The sequence below is a fragment of the Homo sapiens genome, chromosome 10 (genome assembly GCF_000001405.40).
Source record: "Homo sapiens chromosome 10, GRCh38.p14 Primary Assembly".
NCBI classification, from domain to species: Eukaryota; Metazoa; Chordata; class Mammalia; order Primates; family Hominidae; genus Homo; species Homo sapiens.
In genome coordinates, this window is record NC_000010.11 from 14,720,324 (window position 1) to 14,744,653 (window position 24,330).

The 24,330-nt window shown below is 42.1% G+C and overlaps 1 protein-coding gene and 1 pseudogene across 2 annotated transcripts in view, besides 4 other annotated features; both read right to left on the bottom strand.

Annotated features, from left to right (window-relative positions):
• Positions 1–24,330, bottom strand: part of FAM107B (family with sequence similarity 107 member B) — a 256,341-nt gene that overhangs the window by 201,767 nt on the left and 30,244 nt on the right. The window lies entirely within an intron of this gene.
• RPSAP7 (ribosomal protein SA pseudogene 7) lies at positions 2,776–3,808 on the bottom strand (annotated as a pseudogene).
• Positions 17,489–18,010: an enhancer, noted in NCBI's record as "H3K27ac-H3K4me1 hESC enhancer chr10:14779811-14780332 (GRCh37/hg19 assembly coordinates)". NCBI's record gives its function as "activates a minimal SCP1, AML or CMV promoter by ChIP-STARR-seq in naive H9 embryonic stem cells {active_cell/tissue: H9 hESC(naive)}" and the evidence as "EXISTENCE:reporter gene assay evidence [ECO:0000049][PMID:30033119]".
• Positions 20,816–20,865: an enhancer, noted in NCBI's record as "active region_3082". NCBI's record gives its function as "activates an Ori minimal core promoter by ATAC-STARR-seq in GM12878 lymphoblastoid cells {active_cell/tissue: GM12878}" and the evidence as "EXISTENCE:reporter gene assay evidence [ECO:0000049][PMID:35858748]".
• Positions 22,288–22,337: an enhancer, noted in NCBI's record as "active region_3083". NCBI's record gives its function as "activates an Ori minimal core promoter by ATAC-STARR-seq in GM12878 lymphoblastoid cells {active_cell/tissue: GM12878}" and the evidence as "EXISTENCE:reporter gene assay evidence [ECO:0000049][PMID:35858748]".
• Positions 22,398–22,507: an enhancer, noted in NCBI's record as "active region_3084". NCBI's record gives its function as "activates an Ori minimal core promoter by ATAC-STARR-seq in GM12878 lymphoblastoid cells {active_cell/tissue: GM12878}" and the evidence as "EXISTENCE:reporter gene assay evidence [ECO:0000049][PMID:35858748]".

Genomic DNA, 24,330 nt, shown 5'->3' on the forward strand with positions numbered 1-24,330 from the left:
GCTCACTGCAACCTCCGCCTCCCGTGTTCAAGTGATTCTCCTGCCTCGGGCTCCAGAGTAGCTGGGATTACAGGCATGCACCACCACACCTGGCTAATTTCTGTATTTTTAGTAGAGACAGGGTTTTACCATGTTGGCCAGGCTGGTCTCGAACTCCTGACCTCAGGTTATCCGCCTGCCTCAGCCTTCCAATGTGCCAGGATTACAGGTGTGAGTCACCATGCCTGGCCTATTTTTGGTCTTTTTAAAGTAAATTTTAAAAGTTGTAGGGCTTTATCAGCTCCAATTCATCAATTAGCTGAAGGGTTATTTTAGAAACATAAGAAAATTATAACGAACAGAATGGATCCCTCAACATTCTACCAGACACCATTGTCTTAAATTCTAGAAGTTCCCAGGCAAACATTTGAAGAACCAAAGTAATCCAGAGGACCTAGAATTCATTGAAAAATGCTGCTTTTATCACCTTTCCCCTCCCTGTAGAATATCTAATAATTTCAAAGGAACATATTTTTTTTTAATTTATTTTTTATTTTTATACTTTAAGTTCTAGGGTACAAGTGCACAATGTGCAGGTTTGTTACGTAGGTATACGCGTGCCATGTTGGTTTGCTGCACCCATTAATTCATCATTTACATTAGGTATTTCTCCCAATGCTATCCCTCCCCCAGGCCCCCACCCCATGACAGGCGCCAGTGTGTGACGTTCCCCGCCCCGTGTTCAAGTGTTCTCATTGTTCAATTCCCACCCATGAGTGAGAACATGCGGTGTTTTGTTTTCTGTCCTTGTAATAGTTTGCTGAGAATGATGGTTTCCAGCTTCATCCATGTCCCTACAAAGGACATGAACTCATCCTTTTTTATGGCTGCATAGTATTCCATGGTGTATATGTGCCACATTTTTTTTAATCCAGTCTATCATTGATGGACATTTGGGTTGGTTCCAAGTCTTTGCTATTGTGAATAGTGCCGCTATAAACATACGTTTGCATGTGTCTTTATAGCAGCATGATTTATAATCCTTTGGGTATATACCCAGTAATGGGATGGCTGGGTCAAATGGTATTTCTAGTTCTAGATCCTTGAGGAATAGCCACACTGTCTTCCACAATGGTTGAACTAATTTACACTCCCACCAACTGTGTAAAAGTGTTCCTATTTCTCCACATCCTCTCCAGCATCTGTTGTTTCCTGACTTTTTAATGATCACCATTCTAACTGGTGTGAGATGGTATCTCATTGTGGTTTTGATTTGCATTTCTCTGATGGCCAGTGATGATGAGCATTTTTTCATGTGTCTATTGGCTGCATAAATGTCTTCTTTTGAGAAGTGTCTGTTCATATCCTTCACCCACTTTTTGTTGGGGTTGTTTGGTTTATCTTTTAAATTTGTTTAAGTTCTCTGTAGATTCTGGATATTAGCCCTTTGTCAGATGGGTAGATTGCAAAAATTTTCTCCCATTCTGTAGGTTGCCTGTTCACTCTGATGGTAGTTTCTTTTGCTGTGCAGAAACTCTTTAGTTTAATTAGATCCCATTTGTCTATTTTGGCTTTTGTTGCCATTGCTTTTGGTGTTTTAGACATGAAGTCCTCGCCCATGCCTATGTCCTGAATGGTATTGCCTAGGTTTTCTTCTAGGGTTTTTATGGTTTTAGGTCTGACATTTAAGTCTTTAATCCATCTTGAATTAATTAATCCATTTATTAAATAGGGAATATAAAGGAACATACTTTTTTATGGATTTATTTTCTAAGTGTACAATTCAGTGATTTGTTAGTGTAGTCACAAAATTGTGCAAACATCACTACTAATTCCAGAATATTTTCATTACTCTAAAAAGAAACCTCACACCTATTAGCAGTCATTCCCCATTCCTTCCTCCCACACAATCCCTAATAAATACTATTCGATTTTCTATCCCTATAGGTTTGCCAATTTTGTACATTTTATAAAAATGAAATCACATGATATGTGGCATTTGTGAATGGCTTCTTTCACTTAGCATAATGTTTTCAAGGTTGTTACCTATTGTAGCCTACATCTGTACTTCATCCCTTTTCATTGCCAAACAATATTCCATTGTATAGATATATTCCATGCTGCTTTTCCATATATCAGTTGATGGCTATTGGGTTGTTCCCTGCATCCTTGTCAACATTTGTTATTTATCTGTCTTTTATTTATTACAGCCATCCTAATGGCTGTAAAGTTGTACTCTCTGCTGTTTCGATTTGCATTTCCCTAATGACTAATATTGAGAATCTTGTCATGTAATTCTTGGCCATTTATATGTCTTCTTTGGATAAATATCCAGTCAAATCCTTTGCCCATTTTTAAATTGATCTTTTTATTGTTAAGTTGCCAGAGTTCTCTATATATTCTAGATATAAGTCTCTTATCAGATATATAATTTGCAAATATTTTCTCTTATCCCATAGGTTGTCTTTTTAATTTCTTGATGGAGCCTTTTGAAGCATGAAAGTTTTTAATTTTGATAAATTCCAATTCATCTATTTTTTATTTTATTGCTTATCTTTTGGGTGTCATATCTCAGAAACCATTGCCTAATCCAAGGTCATGAAGACTTACTCCTATGTTTTCTTCTAAGATTGTATTGTCTTAGCTCTCATATTTAGATCTTTGATATATTTGGGGGTTAATTTTGGTATACAGTGTGAGGTAGGGGTCCAATGGCCGTCTTTTACATGTGTCTTATATTTAGGTCTTATATTTGTGTCTTATATTTAGGTCTTCTTTGGCATGTATCTTTTTTTCTTAAGAGATTGATGTTTATTTTCCATCAGACTTGTGTCCACGTTGCTTAAGAGCCAGTACAAGAACAGCTTAAGACCATTCAGTGGTTGCTCCTAACCATTCAGTGGCCTGAGCAGTGGGAGCCACAGATCAGTCTTCTGTGGTGGGGCCGAGCACTCCAGTCTTCAGTAGGGAACTGCTGAATAGGCACAGAGGGTATCTGCACACCTTCAGACCAGTCTGCAACCTCAGGCTAAGTAGCAGTGAACTCAGGTGCTGGAGCAGTCGATTTGCCCTGAAATTCCTCCTTGGTCACAGCCTTTTCAGCAGCATCTGCTCTTCTTTTTTAATCTCTTCAGGATGTCTGTACAAGTAGAGATCAGGCATGACCTGTCACGGGTGTTTACAGGAAATGGTACCACACATGCACAAAACTTCCCAGGCCAGCATACACCACATCAAACCCACTGTGTGAGCTCCCTTACTGTTGCATGGAAAGGCTATGTCCACATAGAACAGAGGGGAATCTGTGTGACACAGAGCAATGATGGGAAGGTTAACATAGGATTACTCTGCGAGAGGCTGGCAGTCAGCTCTGGGGTCAGTAACCACAAGAAGTCATGGCTCCCAGAAGGCTGCCTGGATCTGGTTAGTGAAGGTTCCAGGGGTGAAGTGGCCAGCAATTAGAGTGGCTCCAGTGGCAGCAGCAAACTTCAGCAGGGCCCTCTGGCCAGTATACCTGGAGGACATGACACTGACATCAGCAGGGTTTTCAATGGCAACAACGGCATGAACTGCCAGCAGAAGCTTCTCCCAGGTCCTCTTCAGATTTATGATGTAGATGCCATCACTTTTCCTTTTATAGATGTGCTGTTCCATTTGGAAGTCAAGGTTAGTGTCACCTAAGTGGGTTCCTGCTCCAAGGAACTTAAGGACATCCTCCTCCTTCATTTGCAGGACATCAAGGGCTCTGGACATTGTGAAAGTTTCCCTTTAAGTTATGATGGGAATCCAGAACAATGCCAAATGGACTCCTCTGTGGGTAGCGCGGAAAGGCTGCATGTATCTTCTATGCATGTGTCTTCTACGTGTCTTATATTTAGCTCTAATATTTGTGTCTTATATTTAGGTCTTCTTTTGCAAATGTCTTATAGTTAGCTCTTATATTTAGGTCTTTGATACATTTGGGGGTAATTTTTGTATATAATGTGAGGTAGGGGTCCAACAGTCTTCTTTTGCTTATGTCTATCCAGTTGTCCCAACACTATTTGTTGAAACCACTATTATTTCTCCATTGAACTTTGTTGGAATCCTTGTCAAAAGCCAATTGACTGTAAGTAAAGGGTTTATTTCTAAAATCTTAATTCTATTCCATTGAATAGACTAGAAGACAGTCACCACGCTGTTTTGATTACTGTAGCTTTGTAGGAAATTTTGCAGATAACCCACATGGTCAAATGGTCCACCCACTAATGTGGTACAGAACCCCAGTTCACTGTTAACCTTATGGATCAACTCCAGCAATTGTCTGGAGCAGGTGGTCACATTTTTATTTTCAGGAGGAGAGCGTTCCCTAGGATGAGAAGCTTAGACCAGAACCATCCCAGAAGGAAAAAAAAAAACAACACCTAAACATCGTCACACAAGTTCCCAGGAACCCACTAATAGTGAGGACAGGAAAAAGACTGAAGGAAACGACAGAAGCTCATCCACACTGAAGAGTGAAGTCCCCAGGCCCCAACACCTAGGTCCTAAAGCACTAGACTCCAGTGTCTTCTCTTCCAGGGCCACTGGTTGTGAGGAAAAGAAACAGGGACATTTCTAGAGTTCATTTGAGAATGAAGGCTCAAAAGTAAACATTTGCAGAACCATCCACAAGGCTCCCATAACTTCAAAAGGCTGCAAGGAAACAACATTGCTTTGAATGTAATGTAAATGAAATAGAAACATATGATTTAGATTTCCACAAAAATAAACCCAGCTCTGCAGGGAGAACAGAAACAGCACCTGAGGACCAGATGCCTTTGGGTGGGGTTTTGTATTTGTAGATCCACAAGGCTGCAGGAAAAGCTGAGACTCTCAGACGGTCAGCATCCTCCTACCTCCCTACAGAGCCAGGCTTGTGCGGCTGGCTTATGAGATGGCTGAGTTTTCTAGAAGCTAGAAACTCTACTTGCAAGTAGAGACACTTAGGGTTGCCTTATAGAGAATGGGTGGGAGAAGAAAAGGGAAGGGAATGGAGAAAGAGATTGAGATTTCTCCTCAAAGGCAAGGTTTGTAAACCACAGAATATCTTTAACTCTGGATTTCATGTTCAATCAAAGTGCCTGTCTTAGTTGGTTTGGACTGCTATATCAAATACGCCAGAGGCTGAGTGGCTAAAACAACAAACTTATTTCTTAGAGTGCTGGAAGCTGGGAAGTCCAAGATTAAGGCTCTGGCAGATCCAGTGTCTAGTTAAGACCCCCTTCCTGGTTTGCACATGGCTGTCTTCTGATTGTATCCTCACATGGTAGGGGGAGAAAGAGAAAGAGAGACAGACAGAGAGAGAGAAAGAGAGAGAGAAAGCTCTCTAGTAACTCTTCTTGTAAGTGTCTAGTGTCTCTAATCCGATTATGGGGTTTCTACCTTCATGATCTTATCTAAACCTAATTATCTTCCAAAGTCCCCACCTCCTAATTTCATCATATGAGAGGTTAAGGCTTCAACATATGAATTTCTAGGGAGCAAAAGCAGTCAAATCCTTTTTTTTTTTTTTTTTTTTTGGAAATGGAGTCTTGCTCTGTTGCCCAGGCTGGAGTGCAGTGGCACGATCTCGGCTCACTGCAACCTTCACCTCCCAGGTTCAAGCAATTCTCCTGCCTCAGCTTCCCAAGTAGCTGGGATTACAGGCATGCAGCATCACACCCGGCTAATTTTTTTTTTTCCTTTTTGAGACGGAGTTTTGTTCTTGTTGCCATGGCTAGAATGCAATGGCGCGATCTCAGCTCACTGCAACCTCCGCCTCCCGGGTTCAAGCGATTCTCCTGCTTCAGCCTCCCAAGTAGCTGGGATTACAGGCTTGCACCACCACACCTGGCTAATTTTGTATTTTTAGTAGAGACAGGGTTTTGCCATGTTGGCCAGGCTGGCCTTGAACTCTTGACCTCAAGTGATCTGCCTGCCTCGGCCTCCCAAAGTACTGGGATTACAGGCGTGAGCCACCGTGCCTGGCCAAAAGCAGTCAAATCCGGGGAAAATGAACACATAAAAATCTATGTGGGAAGCATCTCCTGTTACAAATCAGGGACAATGGTGTTATTTGTGTGCCTGCCTCAGAGCCGAGCAGAACAGGTGCAGCAGGACAGGATGTCTGCACCAGGCTTGAGAAAAGAAAGGACCAAAGCCATAGCACAGTGCAGCATGGAGCCAGACTTGAAAGACAGTCAAGCATTTGTCAGGTTCCCCAAGGCTAAATTTTGGGGGTAATATTCCAAGATAAAGAACCATGTCATGCTTCCCCCTGGAAGCCACGTCTAGCCACGTGGCAGCTAGAAATCTATACAGCCAAATTTCTGCAAATGGCTTGATCCTATGTAGGAAGTATTGCCCGAAAGTACCAGGGCAGATTAAATGACTTTTCCATGTTTCCCAAATTATCAGCTGCTTTCTTGTGCCTTCCCCCCTAAAGAGTCCTTTAAACCAGAGGTCCCCAATCTTTTTGGCATCAGGGGCCAGTTTCATGGAAGACAATTTTTCCACAGACCAGGGTGTGGGGATGGTTTTAGGATGATTCAAGTGCATTACATTTATTGTGCACTTTATTTCTATTATTATTACATTGTAATATCTAATGAAATAAGTATGCAACTCAACATAATGTAGAAACAGTGGGAACCCTGAGCTTGTTTTCCTGCAACTAGATGGTCCCATTTGGGGGTGATGGGAGACAGTTACAGATCATCAGGCATTAGATTCTCATAAGAAGCAAGCGACCTAGATACCTCACATGTGCAGTTCACAATAGGGTTCACGCTTCTGTGAGTATCTAATGCCACACTGATCTGACAGGAGGTGGAGCTCAGGCAGTAATGCAAGTAATGGGGAGCAGCTGTAAATACAGATGAAGCTTCACTCACTCTCCCACTGCTCACCTCCTGCTGTGTGACCCAGTTCCTAACAGGCCACAGACCAGTACCAGTACATGGCCCAGGAGTTGGGGACCCCTGCTTTACACTCTGACTTTTCCCTAACCTTCAAAAACAGGTGTGTATTATTTTAGAAATACACCATCATGCTCGGGTTTTCATCACACTGCCTGAGCCACGTCTCTTAGATCTTAACCATTACAATGTGTTCCAGCCTGGACTTGCAACTGTCAGCAGCTGCATGTCTGTGCCATGGGGCATCTTCTAGAGCCAAGGAAGAGGATAGCCTGGAAATCCACAGGCTGGAAGTGACAAGCCATTAACACCTCCCAGGAGCAGCTCTCAACTGATGACTCTTGGGAATTGGTGTATAAATACCCCAGCTCCCTCACCCTCCAGTGGGATAATTCTGAGACATGTGTTTTACATTCTTCTTAGAGGTTCCCTATGGTATTAAGCTCCAGTTGTCCACTGTGGCAGCTGACTTAATAACAGACTTCCCTTCCTCGAATCACTTCCCCACTCTCCCACCAGGGCTTCTAGGGAAACCCACACTAAAACAAGACATCAAGATGCTTCACCACATTTCCATGCTTTAATAGCCCACTTCACTTCCCATTTTTAAGTAAGAAACTTTAAAAAGTGATTTCAGGGAGTTTGAGGCAAATAGAAAAGTTCTGTGTAGATGGAAAAAAGATAAAAAATACCTCTCAACAGCAAACTCTTAAATCCCAAACAAAGGAAAAGGGACTGAGCTAAGTATGCCAGTGATCAGTAACCCTATCATCATATTCTCTCCTCTCCCTCTCTCCCTCTGTCTCTTATTCACTGCCACCCTCCTCCCCCCATACATTTATGGAGTAAGGAAGCCTCTTGAATAACTTAAAAAGTAAAATGAAATGTCCACCCAACACAATGCTTGTGAGCTTGTGGGTGGCCTGAGAGCTGGGCTCAAAGCCATGACTTGGATCATTATTTGCATTTTTAATATCAACTGCACTTGCATCATTTTTTTAGTCAAAGTTTTTCCATTGATCAAAACTTACTCCAGTCCATCAACTCTCTTGAAAAATAGCCAGCAACGATCTTTCTCCCATTTTGATTATTTCTTTCTTTGGTATAAGGGGTGTGTGTGTGTGTGTGTGTGCTTTTTTTTTTAATCTCCAGCGGTAGAAATTACTATTTTTGAAAATAAAGCCAGTGAGAAAATAAAGACAGAAGACACTAAATAAAAGTCAAGGGGAAAGGAAAGAAGAACTACCCCCAGGGTGTGCATTCCAAGTGGCTGCAGAAGTCAAGCTGGACCAGCAGGGGTAATTTTTGTGGGTTATCCATCACTGAAAGCTTGTCAACAGCTTCCCCACCCTGATATCTCCTTAGAGATGAGAATATTGGGTTGGGAGGTCATATTGTTTCCCTCTTACCGCATGGTGATTTATTTGCAAAACTGCTTGCAAAGCAGTCAGCTGTGGGGGGACACACGTGCTTCCAGTGTCCAGCCATCAGCAAAACACTACATACATTGACCTCCAGCCACCTCTGAACACTTTCAAGTCATAATCTTATTCAGCCTCCTTGGCTTATGAGATGAAGAGTATGTGGGCATTCATTCTGGGTAGATTTTTCTCTTTAATTTTTGACAAGAGTAGGCTTTAGATTCAGGCCTGATGGGGAAATGGCACAATGTTCTTCCCTATTAATCTGCCTCGTAATGAATAGCAAGTAAAATACAAGCCAGGCACTTTATGTCAGTTGTTCAATTCTCAACTCTTCAAGTTAGATAGATATATGTGTTTTGTTTTTTTTTAAATGGGGTCTTGCTCTTTGGCCCTGGCTGGAGTACAGTGGTGCATTCATAACTCAATGCAGCCTTGACCTTCTGGGCTCAAGCAGTCCTCCCACCTCAGCCTCCCAAGTAGCTAGGACCACAGATGTGCATTGTCATACCTGGCTATTTTTTTTTATTTTCATTTTTGTAGAGATGAGATTTCAGTTTGTTGCCCAGGCTGATTTCAAACTCCTGACCTGAAGCAATCCTCCTACCTTGACCTCCCAAAGCACTGGGATTACAAATGCAAGCTACCGCACCTGATCAAGTTAAATATTTTTATCCCTATTTTACGGAAAAGAAAAATGAGGTCCAGAAAGGATATGTAAGCTGCCCAAGGTCATTGCTATATGCTACTGACATTAATTAAACCTTTGCTAGATGCCAAGCCTGGTCCTGGGCAGTGGGAATGCTAATACAAATTAGCCAGAGTTCATGCCCTCAAGGAGTAGTGTGATGAGTGTCAGGGGGCATAAGTATGGAGCAGATAAAGGGAGGGATCAACACAGTGGCATAGGAAGTAAAAAGAGTCATAGGATCAGGGAAGCTTCACTGTAGACCCGTGGTTCACAATCTTGGGTGCACCAGAATCACCTGAGGAGCTTAAAAATCTCTGAGGTGGAAATACCATTTCACCCAGCGATCCCATTACTGGGTATATACCCAAAAGATTATAAATCATTCTACTATAAAGACACATACACACGTATGTTTATTGCAGCACTATTTACAATAGCAAAGACTTGGAACCAACCCAGATGCCCATCAATGATAGACCGGATTAAGACAATGTGGCACATATACACCATGAAATACTACGCAGCCATAAAAAAGAATGAGTTCATGTCTTTTGCAGGGACATAAATGAAGCTGGAAACCATCATTCTCAGCAAACTAACACAGGAACAGAAAACCAAACACCACATGTTCTCACTCATAAATGGGAGTTGAACAATGAGAACACATGGACACAGGGAGGGGAACATCACACACTGAGGCCTGTTGGGGGGTTGGGGGCAAAGGGAGGGAGAGCATTAGGACAAATACCTAATGTATGCAGGGCTTGAAACCTAGATGATGGGTTGATAGGTGTAGCAAACCACTGTGGCACATGTATACCTATGAAACAAACCTGCATGTTCTGCACATGTATCCCAGAAATTTAAGTAAAATAAATTTTAAAAATATCTCTGAGGTGGTTTCATATCCGGAGATGGGAAATGGTCTGAGATGTCACATGGGCATCAGGATTTTTTAAAGTTCTCCCAGGTGAGTTTAATGTGAAACCAAAGACGAGAACCACTGAACTATGGTGAGGGTGCCCTGACCCGACTCTTGCCCAAGATGATATTCTTGAGCTGGGATTTAAAGGCTAGAATTGGATTTATAGGCAGATAAAGGTGTCAGGGCAATTCACATAGGAGCAAGAGCATTAGGAAGCCCAGGGAGGGAAGGTAGAGAATATGATGTGTCTGGGGAACCAGCGGAGCTGAGAGAATGCAGAGATGAGGTTGGAGGATGAATGGAAGCCTGATCGACCAGGTGGTGTGTTGAAGATTTGCAGAGTCCTTGAAGGATTTTCACCAATGGCATGATCTGGTTCGTGTTTACAAAAATTTTTCTGGCAACAGGGCAGGAATGGATTATAGGTGAGAAAGCAGATTGTGCGGAGGCTACTGCAGTAGACCAGGCGAGAAATTATGCGACTTAGATCTATGGTGACCAGCCTCCCCAGTTTGCCCAGGAATGTTCTGATTTTAGCCCTGAAAGTCCTATGTCCTGGGTAACTCCTCAGTCCCGGGCAAACCAGGACAGTTGGTCACCCACCTAGACCACACCAGTAGCAGCATGAATGGACAGTGGACAGATTTTAGAGATGCAGGGGGCAGAGGTGACTTTAGGGGTGAGGGAGTGGAGGCAGAAGATCAAAGCCGACTAAGTGGTTTCTGGCTTGAGCAACTGGTAGAGGGGTGCTGTCACCATGACTGGAATCAGGGAGAGGGCTTAGCAGGCACAGGCGGATATTACAGACTTTGTTTTGAACCTGCTCACTTTGGTGTGTCTAAACCAAAATCCAAAATTTGGATAATGGTACCCAAACATCCAACAATCCATTGGTCCATTTATTGAGTACCTAGGTGTCAATACTAAAAAGGTGTCAGGTACTAAAAAAATAAGACAGAAAAGGTGCTTGCCCTGTGGAGCTCTCAGTCCAGTGAGGGCGCGGGATTAAATCAATGACTTCAAGGCCAGGTGTGGTGGCTCACGCCTGTAATCCCAGCAGTATGGGGGGCCGAGGCAGGTGGATCACCTGAGATCAGGAGTTTGAGACCAGCCTGACCAACATGGTGAAACCCCATCTCTACTAAAAATACAAAAATTAGCCAGGCATGGTGGTGGGTGCCTGCGGTCCCAGCTACTTGGAAGGCTGAGACAGGAGGATCACTTGAGCCCAGGAGGCGGAGGTTGCAGTGGGCCAAGATTGTGCCACTGCACTCCAGCCTGGGTGACAGAGCGAGACTCCATCTCAAAAAATAAATCAATAAATAAATGAGTTTACAAGAAACTTTTTAAATCTCTCAATGCATGCACAGTCATGTCCTGCATAATGATGTTTGGGTCAACAACAGACCTCATATATGACAGTGGCCCCATAGGAGTATAATACCATCTTTTTACTGTACCTTTTCTATGTTTAGATACACAAATGTCATTGTGTTACAGCTGCCTGCAGTATTCAGCACCATCATATGCTGTACAGGTTTGCAGCCCAGGAGCAATAGGCTACAGCATCCAGCCCAGGTGTGCAGTGGGCTACACCATCTAGGTTTATGGGAGTACACTCTTTGATGTTCACACAACGATAAAATCAGCTAACGATGCATTTCTTAGAACAGATCCCCGTTGTTAAGCAGTGCATGATGCTACTTCCCTGCTTTCACCGTTTGCCCTCCTGTGATGCTACTGTTTCTGAGATGACCGAACATCTGCTTCCCCTGGAAAAGTAACAATTCCCACCTGCGGTCCCAATGTAATTATTAATAACAACACCTTGCACTCTCAGAAGTGCCTCAGTTTCTATGGTGAAGTAGATAATGACCTAACTCAAACTACTCTCTATACCACCTCAATCACACTATTGATGTTTTACATTCATTTTCTTACAACGGCTATCTCTCTGCACAGACATCATCGTTCAGCAAGTATCGACTAATTCCAAGCCCGCAAGCAAGCGTGAGGACATGAAGCAGACCTATTTCTCCACTCTATAAACCAGTTGCTCCCAAAGATCGGCAATTAATCAACTTGTCAGGGAGGCAGTGCCGTGTGGTGGGAAAATATTGATTGGCCCAGGAGTTCCAAGAGCTGTTTTTAATGTTGGTTCGGCCATTTACTAGAAGCCATTTCATTTCCTGGCTCCCCAGTAAGTGGCCTTATCTTCAAATAGAAATAACTATATATTTCTGGACTATTTTAGAGGGCTGTTTCGAGAAGCAAATGTATGTAAAAGTATTTCTAAACTGTGAACTGCTGTATCAATGTAAGGTATTCTAAATATGAAACTAGAAGACACTTGATATTCTATATTGTAATTGACATAGTTAATCCACAACAGAATTCTTGCTGATGGGAACATAGACTGTCTGAGTGCAAAGTACAAATATTTAGAAGGCATACATAATAATAATATCATATAATTAACAATATTCTTTAATAACATTGTTAAACATATAACATAATATATTCTATAGAATACATTATAGAATACATTATAATTATATGTATTATAATATTATAATTATAATACATTATAGAATACATTAATATTATATTAATATTATATAATACAATTATAGTACATTATAGAATATATTAATATTATATTAATATTATATAATATTATAATTATGATACGTTATGGAATACCTTATATTGTATTCTATAGAATACAATATATCTAATAATTCTATAGAATACACTATATCTAATAATTATATATTATATCTAATATATAATTATATCTAATAATTATTAGATACAATGTAGTCTATAGAATACATTATACATAATAATATATAGCATATTTTTATATATGTTAAAATATTAGATATTCAGAAACCAAATACATTTTCAAATTGCATACAGCATTTGAACTTTCTTGGCTGTCACTATAACTTCTGTCACAGAAAGGAATATCAGCTATAGTACATGCAATCAACCTCACCTGCGTTTTCAAAATAAAACAGCCCAGAGTCGATCTAATGTATCTGATTCAATTTTTCATCAACGGAGATCACATTTTACTTCAATTTTGTCAGCATCATGCAAAGATCACTGAGATCTTTTGTTAACAAAATGCCACCAAGTTTCATACAAACCTGACTAAAATGATGTTAAGTAGAAATGATATCCAGTAAGATACGCTTGTTTTACCCATGATGATAAACTAGTTCCTAAATGAAGGGTAGAGTGACACCAGTCTGTCTGTCTCAACCAGGAAATTATACTGTCAAATGATATATCATGGGGCTTTTAAATATTAGAATAAATACCCATAGCACTGGAGAAAGGTCGTCCAAAATAATGATAAGGTAAACTGTGGTTAATTCAGCTCCTATTGTCTAACTTATTTCTCTCACAACCCTGGGAGGCAGGTTTTATCATTTCCATTTAACAAGGAGAAATTGGCAGCTCAAAGAGACTATGCAACTTGCCCAAGATGAAACAGTGAGTAAATAGCCAAGACTCAAGTCCAACTCTGTCTGATTCCAGACCCCATCTTCTTCTCAGCAAACCACACTGCTTCTCCACATTTTCTCCCTGAACAGGTTTTTCATTTGGCCATATTAACTGCATAAACCCTTTGGAAGTATTTTCAACAAATGTCCTTGAAAAGAGTTTCTGGGCACCTGGTATTTAGAGAGGACTTTGAGAGGAGAACAGGTACCGAAGCAACGTGTTCAACTCTTGAGCCACTGAATTAATACATGGGCTGCCAAACACACCTACATAAACTTGGGACTAGATTTGTTCAAGCTTGCACATTTGGACTTCCTTTAAAAAAAAATATATACAACTTCTTGTTCTGAAAACAATGCCAATCAATTTGTAATGAGATTACAATGTTACGATAACAAGGGTAATAAATGTCCTGCCACACATTGAATCAAAGATCCATTGCATCATGGCTTAATAAGCCACTGGGGGAAAATTGCCTGGTTTCCATGATAATGAGTGGTGCTCTCATCCACACCAGAACTGTCCCGCACCAACTGCAGCCCAATTATATTGCCCTTACATTGGCCCATCCTGACCTATAGGGAGTTGGAAGCATTTACTAAATCAAGCTTGTCCAACCTGCAGCCCACAGACCACATGTGGTCCAGGGCGGCTTTGAAGGTGGCACAACACAAATTCATAAACTTTCCTAAACATAATGAAATCTTTTTGTGAGGTTTTTTTTTTTTTTTTAGCTCATCAGCTATCGTTAGTGTTAGTGTATTTTATGTGTGGCCCAAGATAATTCCTTTTCTTCTAATGTGGCCCGGGGAAGCCAAAAGATTGGACACCTTTGAATTGTACCAGTGATTACTAAGAATGAGCAGGACCTGTGCTCCAGAACTTAGGGCACACCTCCATTGCTCAAGCGGAGTGACAATTTGGGTCTATAAATGTTCCACTGATCCTGGCATTACTTTACAGCTTTGTGCTTTTATTTATTTATTTATTGAGATGGAGTCTTGCTCAGTCACCCAGGCTGGAGTGCAGTGGCGCGATCTTGGCTCACTGAGCTTTGTGCTTTTAAATAGTTCATTTGTCAAGTACCTTGGTAGTGAAATGCAGTGGACACAGTTGTATAAATCCCCTGAAGAAAACAAATTGATATACGCAATCTCCTCCCCTGGCACATAGAGGCCCATCTGTTCCAGCCGAATCTGCCAAGTCAGCAGAGTGAGTCTCGAGCCAGCCTGCATCAGCTGCCACACTTGCAGGTGTCCAGCAAGATGTCATCCACCTGCTGTCTCCAGGCTTCTCTTGCAAAACTAGGTCATAATTCGGTGTCCATTCTGAGGTCCTGTCCATTCCAGCGGATAAAATAAGCAGAATTTATTCCTCAAGAGCCAACGGCCTTTTGTGATAGGATAGATCAAGCATGTCCAACCCATGGCCTATAGGCCACATGGGGCCTGGGACAGCTTTCAAGGCAGCCCAACACAAATTCATAAACTTTCTTAAAACATTATGAGATTTTTTGCAATTTTTTTTTTTAGCCCATCAGCTATCATTCATGTTAGTGAATCTTATGTGTGGCCCAAGACAATTCTTCTCTCAATGTGGCCCCAGGAAGCCAAAAGATTGGACACCTGTGGTAGATACTCATCTGTTGGAGCTATTTTGGGGTGGGCCTTTGCTGAAAGTCAATTGGTGGCCTCCAAGATGATTCCTCAGGATGTCTGTCTGCCCAGTAGAGGAGACGGCACTTCGGTTTCAGGTCCATTTTGGTGAAATGCATCATTAACAGATAAGCAAGAACATTTAGGACAAAAGATAGCGTGCTTTAGAATGACTCTAGGAAAAATTCTCCAATTGCAAGGGGATAAAGCATTGGCCTGCACTGTTCAGGAAGAATGGGAAAACTCCTTTTCATAGAATTTAAAGCAGAAGAGTAGCTGGAGTTCTGCCAGTCCTCTCTGAGCCAGGGCATACACTGGAAAGCCTTTCATAGTCAACTCCCAGGGATCTGCGATTGTCCAGCTTTACTGAGTGGGGTCTACACTCCGTCTCTAGGAAATGTAGCCATGGTCACACCTAAGATTTGGGGTTAGCATGACTACATTTCCTAGTGACATTACTATATCTCTACAGTACTAAAATGTCCCAAAGGGCTATTATGTATCTATTATGTTTTATTATTACAAGAAACCTAAGAGGAAGGTAGGGAATGATTATAGGTTAAATGCAATAAAATATCATGAGAGATTTTATGTATGGTGCCTGGGAAAAGGGAAAAGGGAAAAGAAGAGGGGGAGCGAGCAGATAACAAAGATGGAAGTCCTAAAAGATGGCAGTCCCCCTGTGTGGCAAAGTCTCTAAAACAGCATGTACCTCCAGAATATATTATGGTAGCCAGCCTTAAACTGGACAAGCTGAAAGGGAACTGAGAGATCTCCAGTTTGTTCTCTAGTTTTCAAGACACAAGTCCATAGACAGGAAGTCATTAGGTCAAAGTCACAAGTCAGGAGACAGGCAGAGCTGAAGAAAAACACAGGTAGAATCCAAAATTCATATTCTACTGGGTTGCTTATGAAAGTTAAAAGACACAATATGTTAACATCAACTTGTCAGCCTATTTATAGCAGACCTCTGGTGATTTGAGTAGTTCGCCTCAATCTAAGGGACAAGCCAAACTGTTTGGGATGGCTTTCTTATAGACTCATAATTAAGACTCTATCCTTAGTGTACTCTTCAGCCTATTGCACTAAAGTGAATACTACTTTATGTAAGAACAGTAAGTCCATTACCAAAAAATAAAAACAAGAAAAACACATTATCACTCAATCTCCTTCATTGGTCCTATAAATCAATGCTATTTTCTGAGTCCAAGATCCATGAAAAACCTTCACTAAGTATAAACATCATAAATCATTAACTGATCATTTCCAAAAAGTGACTTTAACTCTGGCCAGGGGTAAATATTCCTGGGATTTATGTCCAATCACAAGCAAGCAGTATTATTTCAGCACATTCGACAGTAGAATTTTGAAAGGGTCATCTAAAAATAGATTCTCAATGACTGCAATGTGAAATCATGCAAACAGAACAGCAGTTGAATGTTGTGGTTTAGAGCTGCAGAGAGACCCACTGAAGCCTTGATAATGTTGTCCCCCAGCACTCAGATAGGAAGCCGACACCAGGCGGCCTTGTTGGCAGTCTGGGGAAAGGCCACACAGCAGACCTCACTGCCTGAGGAAGGCGGGGAGTATGAAGGCTTGAGAGCCCAGAGACAGACAAGGAAAAGGGAAGGAGAAATGAAGGAAGCAAAAACAAGGGAGCTAAGAGGATTTCTCGGAGCACCACCAAGCCAGAGATCTTGTCAGCGCTCTGAGAAAAAGCAGAGAGATTCCATTCATCTCTGCCTTACAGTGGGCTCTTTTGTTAGGCTTGTAGGGCTTCTCTTTTATTCATATATTACAGAGGGGGAGTTGGGATGATATGGGGAGAAAAAGGAGGTGAGAGAGAAAGAGAGGAGTGGAGAGGGGAGAAGAAGGGAAAAAAGCATTTCCTCTCCATAGAAAAAACATTTTAGGCCAGGTGCAGTGACTCATGGGAGCACTTCAGAACGTCGAGGTGGGCGGATTGCCTGAGCTCAGGAGTTGGGGACCAGCCTGGGCAACACAGTGAGACCCCGTCTCTACTAAAAATACAAAAAATGAGCCGGGCGTGGTGACAGGCACCTGTAACCCTGGCTACTTGGGAGGCTGAGGCAGAAGAATTGCTTGAACCTGGGAGAAGGAGGTTGCAGTGAGCTGGGATCATGCCACCACACTCCAGCCTGGGTGACAGAGAGAGACTCGGCCTCCAAAACAAACAAACAAACAAACAAACAAAAAAGCAAGCATTTTATTTTCACAGGGAAATGACCTAAGAAAAACTTACCTTCCCCAATCGAGAGGTTTCCCTGAAAACGTTTCCCAGGCTTCCCTGGCCCATGCAGTGCTGTGCGTGCACGCTTTCTCTCTCTCTCTCTCTCTCTCTCTCTCTCTCTCCTTCGTTGGCTAAACTTGTACCAGCCACAAGCACTGTGCCTCAGTTCATTTATTTTTTTTTCCATCTGCAAATGCAGTTCATCCCCCTGACTGGTGACGATGTTATACAATGTGCTGAAAATCTTGGAACAACATGTATTCATGGATAAAAACTCGGTCTCTAGGCGTTTCATTCCCCCGACACAGCAGCCGCTAATGCCACCACTCTAGAGTGTTTCCCATGTGCCAGCACTGTGAGGACCAATTTACACACACGGTCTCATTGGAATTTACTATATTTACACGTACAAATGTACAGCAGCCAGGGAGGAAGATTTCCCCATTCTGCAGCAAAGGAAGCTTAAATTCCAAAAAGCTAAGTGACTTGCCCAACATCCCAAAGGTAATAAATGACTGGATTGGAATCCAAATCCGCATGTGACACCAGGGTGCAGGTTATCTTAGTCTTAAATGAGATAAGATGAAGCTCTCAGAATAGCAAATCTGTTACGAGTGGGAGTTAGGGAAAAGATAAGGCGTAGTTCAGAGAAAACGAGGCACTATCTAGGTCACCACTGAGCTCACCCACTTATCTAGAGAATCAGTTATTGACTAGAAAGTGGTGTAACTGATAGTTGTCTTGAGTTGCAGGCCAGGCTTCCTCCTGACCACAGTCTAGGCCCTGAACCTCCTTAGGGCTCTTTAAATCTTAGCTCTAAAATGAGATGGTCTCTCAGGACCCTTTCAACTCCAAAAGATTCCCTTAGGATTCCCAGCAGTAACCTATTTCTGGGTATCCTGAAGCGTGTCACACGCCACCTAAAAAAGGAGGTTAGAGGAGTGAATGCAAAATGAGGTCAACAGCACCTGCGGGACTACCTGTAGGCCTCGGGAAGGTAAGGAATCCAGACATTACCCCTGACACATGGATTGGGCCCTGGCCTCAGGAAGGTAAGGAATTCGGACATTACCCCAACACATGGATCGGGCCCATTGGGTTAGTGTGCTAAGTTTCCATTGATTATATTGTAACACTAGTTGCCGTCTGTTCTGGACATTGTTGCTGTGTAACAAGCAACCCCCAAACCAGCAGTTTAAGGCAATGAATTTATTTTGCTCACAACTTTGTGGGTCAGGAATTTGGAAAGGACTCAGCTGGGCTGTCTGACTCTCATGCATGTGCATCAGCTGGGGTGACTTGGGTTGAAGGGGACCCTTTCACCATGGCTTCCTCCTCCACATACCTGGAGCCTTATGGTTTACACTTTTCCCAGCTTGGTGGTCTCAGGATATTCATACTTCTAACATGGCAAGTGGCTTCTAAAAGGTGAAGGTAAAAGCTGCCGGTCCTCTAAAGGGTAGGTCCAGAAGTAGAACAACGTTCATCATACACATCCCATTACGTAAAGTGATCACAGGGTGGCCCAGATTCAAAAGGAGGAGAAGCAGCCTCCATCGCTCCATGACGGGAGTGCTAATCTGCCACGGTGTCCCACCTTGGGATCTGACCAGGAAGGCCCCAGCCAACTGCTGGATTTGGAGAAATTGGAATGATCCAGAAATGGGAAATTGGACTGATACATAGAACTATACCCACTCAATGAGTAGGGCAGGCGCTGGGGACAGACTCCACAGTTGTAGGTGGAGGACAAGGTATTTTTACCTGCCAGGCATCCATGATCCATCCAGCTTTCTTCTGATAACAGCACGTTGGGGAAACTTACTGCCTCAGCTCTCCATCCATGGGATTTGGGTAGAGGACCAATTTTACTCCTGGAATGTGTGACTTGGGCCTGACCAATTATCATCAGTGCCTGGCATATAGTAAGTGTTCATGATGAATGAATGAATGAATGAATGAGCGAATAAAGGGAAAATATTTCATTTCCCAGACCACAAGAATTGTTTTAGGGATAGATACATAATTCAAGTTCTACAACTTGTGCTAGAAAGAGGTATTCTCTTTATGCTGAACTTGGAGTTGTGGGCATGTATTCCTAAAGCCAATGAGAGACACCGTGAAGTGAATCCCTGCAGGAGACTGGAGCTGGCCCAGGGGAAAGAAAAGCCGAGACACAGAAGGAGCAAGACAGAGTCCTGATGGCACTGTTTGACATCCAACTATCTCTAGTTGGTCTATCCCCTGGATTGTTTGCTTGAATGGCTGAAATTTATGCACTGACAACATCAAATTGCGGAGAAGATATAGAGCAACAGGAATGCTCATTCACTGCCTGTGGGAATGCAAAATGATACAGCTACTTTGAAAGACAGTGTGGCAATTTCTTACAAAGCTAAACATAGGCTTACCATATGATCCAGAAATCATGGTCCTTGACATTTACCCAAATGAATTCACACAAAAACCTACACGTGAATGTTTATAGAAGCGATATTCATATTCGCCAAAACTTGGAACCAACCAAGATGTCCTTCAATAGGTGAATGAATAAACACACATGTGGAACATCCAGACAATGGCCCATTATTCAGGTATAAATAGAAATGAGCTATCAAGGCACAAAAAGACATGGAGGAACACTAAATGCATATTGCTAAGTGAAAAGCCAGTCTGAAAAGGATACATACTGTATGATTCCAACTTTATGACATGTTGGAAAACGCAAAACTATACAGACAATAAAATGATCAGTGGTGGCCATTGGGGTACGGGGGAAGGAGACATAGGTGGAGAACAGAGATTTTAGGGCAGTGAAACTATCCTATATGATACTGTCATGGTGGAAAAGTGACTTTCTGAATTTTTTAAAACCCATATAACTATACAACACAAAGAGCTAACCCTAATGCGTATATGGGCTTTAGTTAATAATAATGAACTAATATTGTTTCCTCAATTGTAATCAATGTACCACATCAATGCAAGATGTTAAAAATAGGGAAAACTGTGTGCACAGGGAGGGGACAGTAAGAGGGGATTATGGAGGCACTCTGTACCTTCCTTCAATTTTCCTATAAACCCAAAACTGCTCTAAAAAACAAAGTCTATTTTTAAAATGAGCTAGACAGAGTCCTGATGATATCATTTGTTATGCAGCTGTGCCTAAAAATAGTCTAGCCCCTGGACTATTCAGCTGCAAGTCAATACATCCTCTTTTTAGCTTAAGCAAGTGTGGGTTCATTTTCTGTCACTTGTGATCAAAAATGTTCTGTTAAGTGTTAAAAGTAAATCCAGTTTGGCGGCCAGGAAACGATGTGTGAAAACTACAACAGGACCTGATTGGGCCCTGAGAACAGTCAACAGGTGACATTAGGATTTTCCAACAAGCAGACAGCACTGGGATGGGGCTCCCCATGGCTTTGGGAGTCAGAGGAGTGGCTGGCAAGATGACAGCCAGAATCAGGGTACCAGGTGAGGGTTTGGGGGCAGGAACCTGGGCTACAGAAAGAGGAATGAAAAGAGCGAGGCAGGAGCTGAGATATTGAGCAGATTGTCAAGACAATCTGCTCAGGAAACAGGTAAAACCAGAAAGGAGTAAGGCTTGGAGTGTCAGACTAGTGAGGCCTAAAGCCAGGCACCTGGAAGAAGAGGGAGAGTTAGCCCATAAGGGGCTTGTTTGCCCCACCTGAGAGCAAGAAGAGAGGAGGGCAAGAGAGGAGCCCCGTGTTTTAGGCCAGAGAGAGAGCATCCACTAAGGTCACCGCACCAGCCTACGAAGAAGTCTTTGAGGGAAAGCAGCACTGAGTGGAGAAAAGTGTGAATCCCTGCATCTCCAGGAGGGATGGAGGATACCCTCTGCCCAGCCAAACACTGACCCCAGATCTGAGCCCCAAGGGGAGTCTGTTTTAAATACCTTTCTTGAAAACCCACCAATTCCTTCAAATCCAGTCACCAGCACTGTTATTTTTTTCTTATGTTACATGTGACAAAATGGTGTTATTCTTCCTCTCCTCGACTTTCCATGCATAACTCCCTTTTTTTTTTTTTTTTTTTTTTTGAGATGGAGTCTCGCTCTGTCGCCCAGGCTGGAGTGCAGTGGTGCAATCTCGGCTCACTGCAAGCTCCGCCTCCTGGGTTCACGCCATTCTCCTGCCTCAGCCTCCACAGGCACCCGCCCCCACACCAGGCTAATTTTTTTGTATTTTTAGTAGAGACGGGGTTTCTACTAAACCCCATGTTAGCCAGGATGGTCTCGATCTCCTGACCTCGTGATCCACCCACCTCGGTCTCCCAAAGTGCTGGGATTACAGGCATGAGCCACCGCGTGCGGCCAACTCCCTAACTTTCTGAATAAATTTTGCCCATGAATTAACAAGTGCTACAGAATTAGCTGCAGGTAATATTTCCACAGGTGTTTGGGGATTTTTGTTTGTTTTTTGTTTTGTTTTGAGAAAGGGTCTTGCTCTCTGGCCCAGACTGGAGTGCAGTGGCAAAATCATGACCCAACTCACTGTAGCCTCAACCTCCTGGGCTCAAGCAGTCCTCCCACCTTGGCCTCCTGAGTAGTTGGGACTACAGGTGCATGCCACCACACCCAGCTCATTTTTTTTTTTTTTGTAAAGGCAAGGGTCTCACTATGTTGCCCAGGCTGGTGTCGAACTTCTGGTCTCAATCAGTCCTCCCACCTCTGCCTCCCAAAGTGCTGGGATTACAGGTGTGAGCCACCACACCTGGCTCAGTGTATGTTTTGATGTCAGATGATGCTAACAAAGTACATTATTAATGCTGCTTGCAGTGGGCTTACTGAGATCAGCAATCACTGTCTGTTTGTTCACTGATGAACTGAAAGCAGTGTCTGGGGTAGGGTAGCTACTCACTAAATATTCGTGAAATGCCTGCTGGATGAGTTATTTCTCTTTTCCTCCTTGGCTGAGATGAAGGGAGAGAAAGACAAGAGTGACAGTGGATTGCATGCATTCAAAGACCAGTATCTGCCTGGCAAGAAGATGCTGGAGAGGTAGTAATGGCCATATTTCATATTTTAGCAATTCCACTGTGGATTCAATATCTCCCCTTAGCTCCTGCCCTATCTTGTTTCTTCTTTTTCATAATCAAGCTTCCTGAAGAATATTCTGCACTTCTTATCTCCACTATTTGACTTTCCTTCTCTCCTTTACTTACTGTAATCTTCCTGGCCACCACTCCACTGCGACAACTCTCACAAAGGTCACCAATGACGTCTTTCCACCAAGATCAAATGCACACATTTTAATCTCTGTGTTTCTTGGTCTTCCTACTTCCTCTTTGAGTTCTCTCTTCTGTATGCTTTCAGTCTTCTGGCTTTCTTCCCACCTCTGTTAATTTGACCCTTCTCAGTTCCTTCACTGGCATTAGATGGTCTCTCATTGTGGTTTTGATTTACATTTCTCTAATGATCAATGATGTTGAGCTTTTTTTCATATGTTTGTTGGCTGCATGTATGTCTTCTTTTGAGACGTGTCTGTTCATGTCCTTTGCCCACATTTTAATGGTTTTTTTCTTGTAAATTTAAGTTCCTTGTAGATTCTGGATATTATAGCTTTGTCAGATGGATAGATTGCAAATTTTTTCTCCCATTCTGCAAGTTGTCTGTTTGCTCTGATGATAGTTTCTTTTGCTGTGCAAAAGCTCTTTAATTAGATCCCATTTGTTAATTTTCACCTTCGTTGCAATGGCTTTTGATGTTTTCATCATGAAATCTTTGCCCGTGCCTATGTCCTAAATGGTATTGCATAGATTTTCTTCTAGGGTTTTCATAGTTGTGGGTTTTACATTTAAGTCTTTAATCTATCTTGAGTTAATGTTTGTATAAGATATAAGGAAGGGGATCCAGTTTCAATTTTCTGCATATGGCTAGCCAGTTCTCCCAGCACCATTTATTAAATAGGAAATCATTTCCCCATTGCTTGTTTTTGTCAGGTTTGTTGAAGATCAGATGGTTGTAGATGTGTGGACTTATTTCTGAGATCTCTATTCTGTTCCATTGGTCTATGTGTCTGTTTTTGTACCAGTACCATGATGTTTTGGTTACTGTAGCCTTGTAGTATAGTTTGAAGTCAGGTAGCATGATGCCTCCAGCTTTGTTCTTTTCACTTAGATTGTCTTGGCTATATGGGCTCTTTTTTGGTTCCATATGAATTTTAAAGTATTTTTTTCTAATTCTGTGAAGAATGTCAATGGTAGTTTAATGAGAATAGCACTGAATCTATAAATTACTTTGGGCAGTATGGTCATTTTCACAATATTGATTCTTCCTATCCATGAATATGGAATGTTTTTCCATTTGTTTGTGTTCTCTCTGATTTCTTTGGGCAGTGGTTTGTAGTTCTCCTTGAAGAGGTCCTTCCCTTGTTAGCTGTAGTCCTAGGTATTTTATTCTTTTTGCAGCAATTGTGAATGGGAGTTCATTCATGATTTGGCTCTCTGCTTGTCTATTGTTGGTGCATAGGAATGCTTGTGATTTTTGCACATTGATTTTGTATCCTGAGACTTTGATGAAGTTGCTTATCAGCTTAAGGGGCATTTGGGTGGAGACAATGGGGTTTTTTAGATATAGGATCATGTCATCTGCAAACAGAGACAGTTTGACTTCCTCTCTTCCTATTTGAATACCTTTATTTCTTTCTCTTGCCTGATTGCCCTGACCAGAACTTCCAATACTATGTTGAATAGGAATGGTGAGAGAGGACATCCTTGTCTTGGGCCAGTTTTCAAGTGGAATGCTTCCAGCTTTTGCCCATTCAGTATAACATTGGCTGTGGGTGTCATAAATGGCTCTTAGTGTTTTGAGGTATGTCCCATCAATACCTAGTTTATTGAGAGTTTTTAACATGAAGAGATGTTGACTTTTTTTGAAGGCCTTTTCTGTGTCTATTGTGATAATCATGTGGTTTTTGTCTTTAGTTCTGTTTTTGTGATGAATTACATTTATTG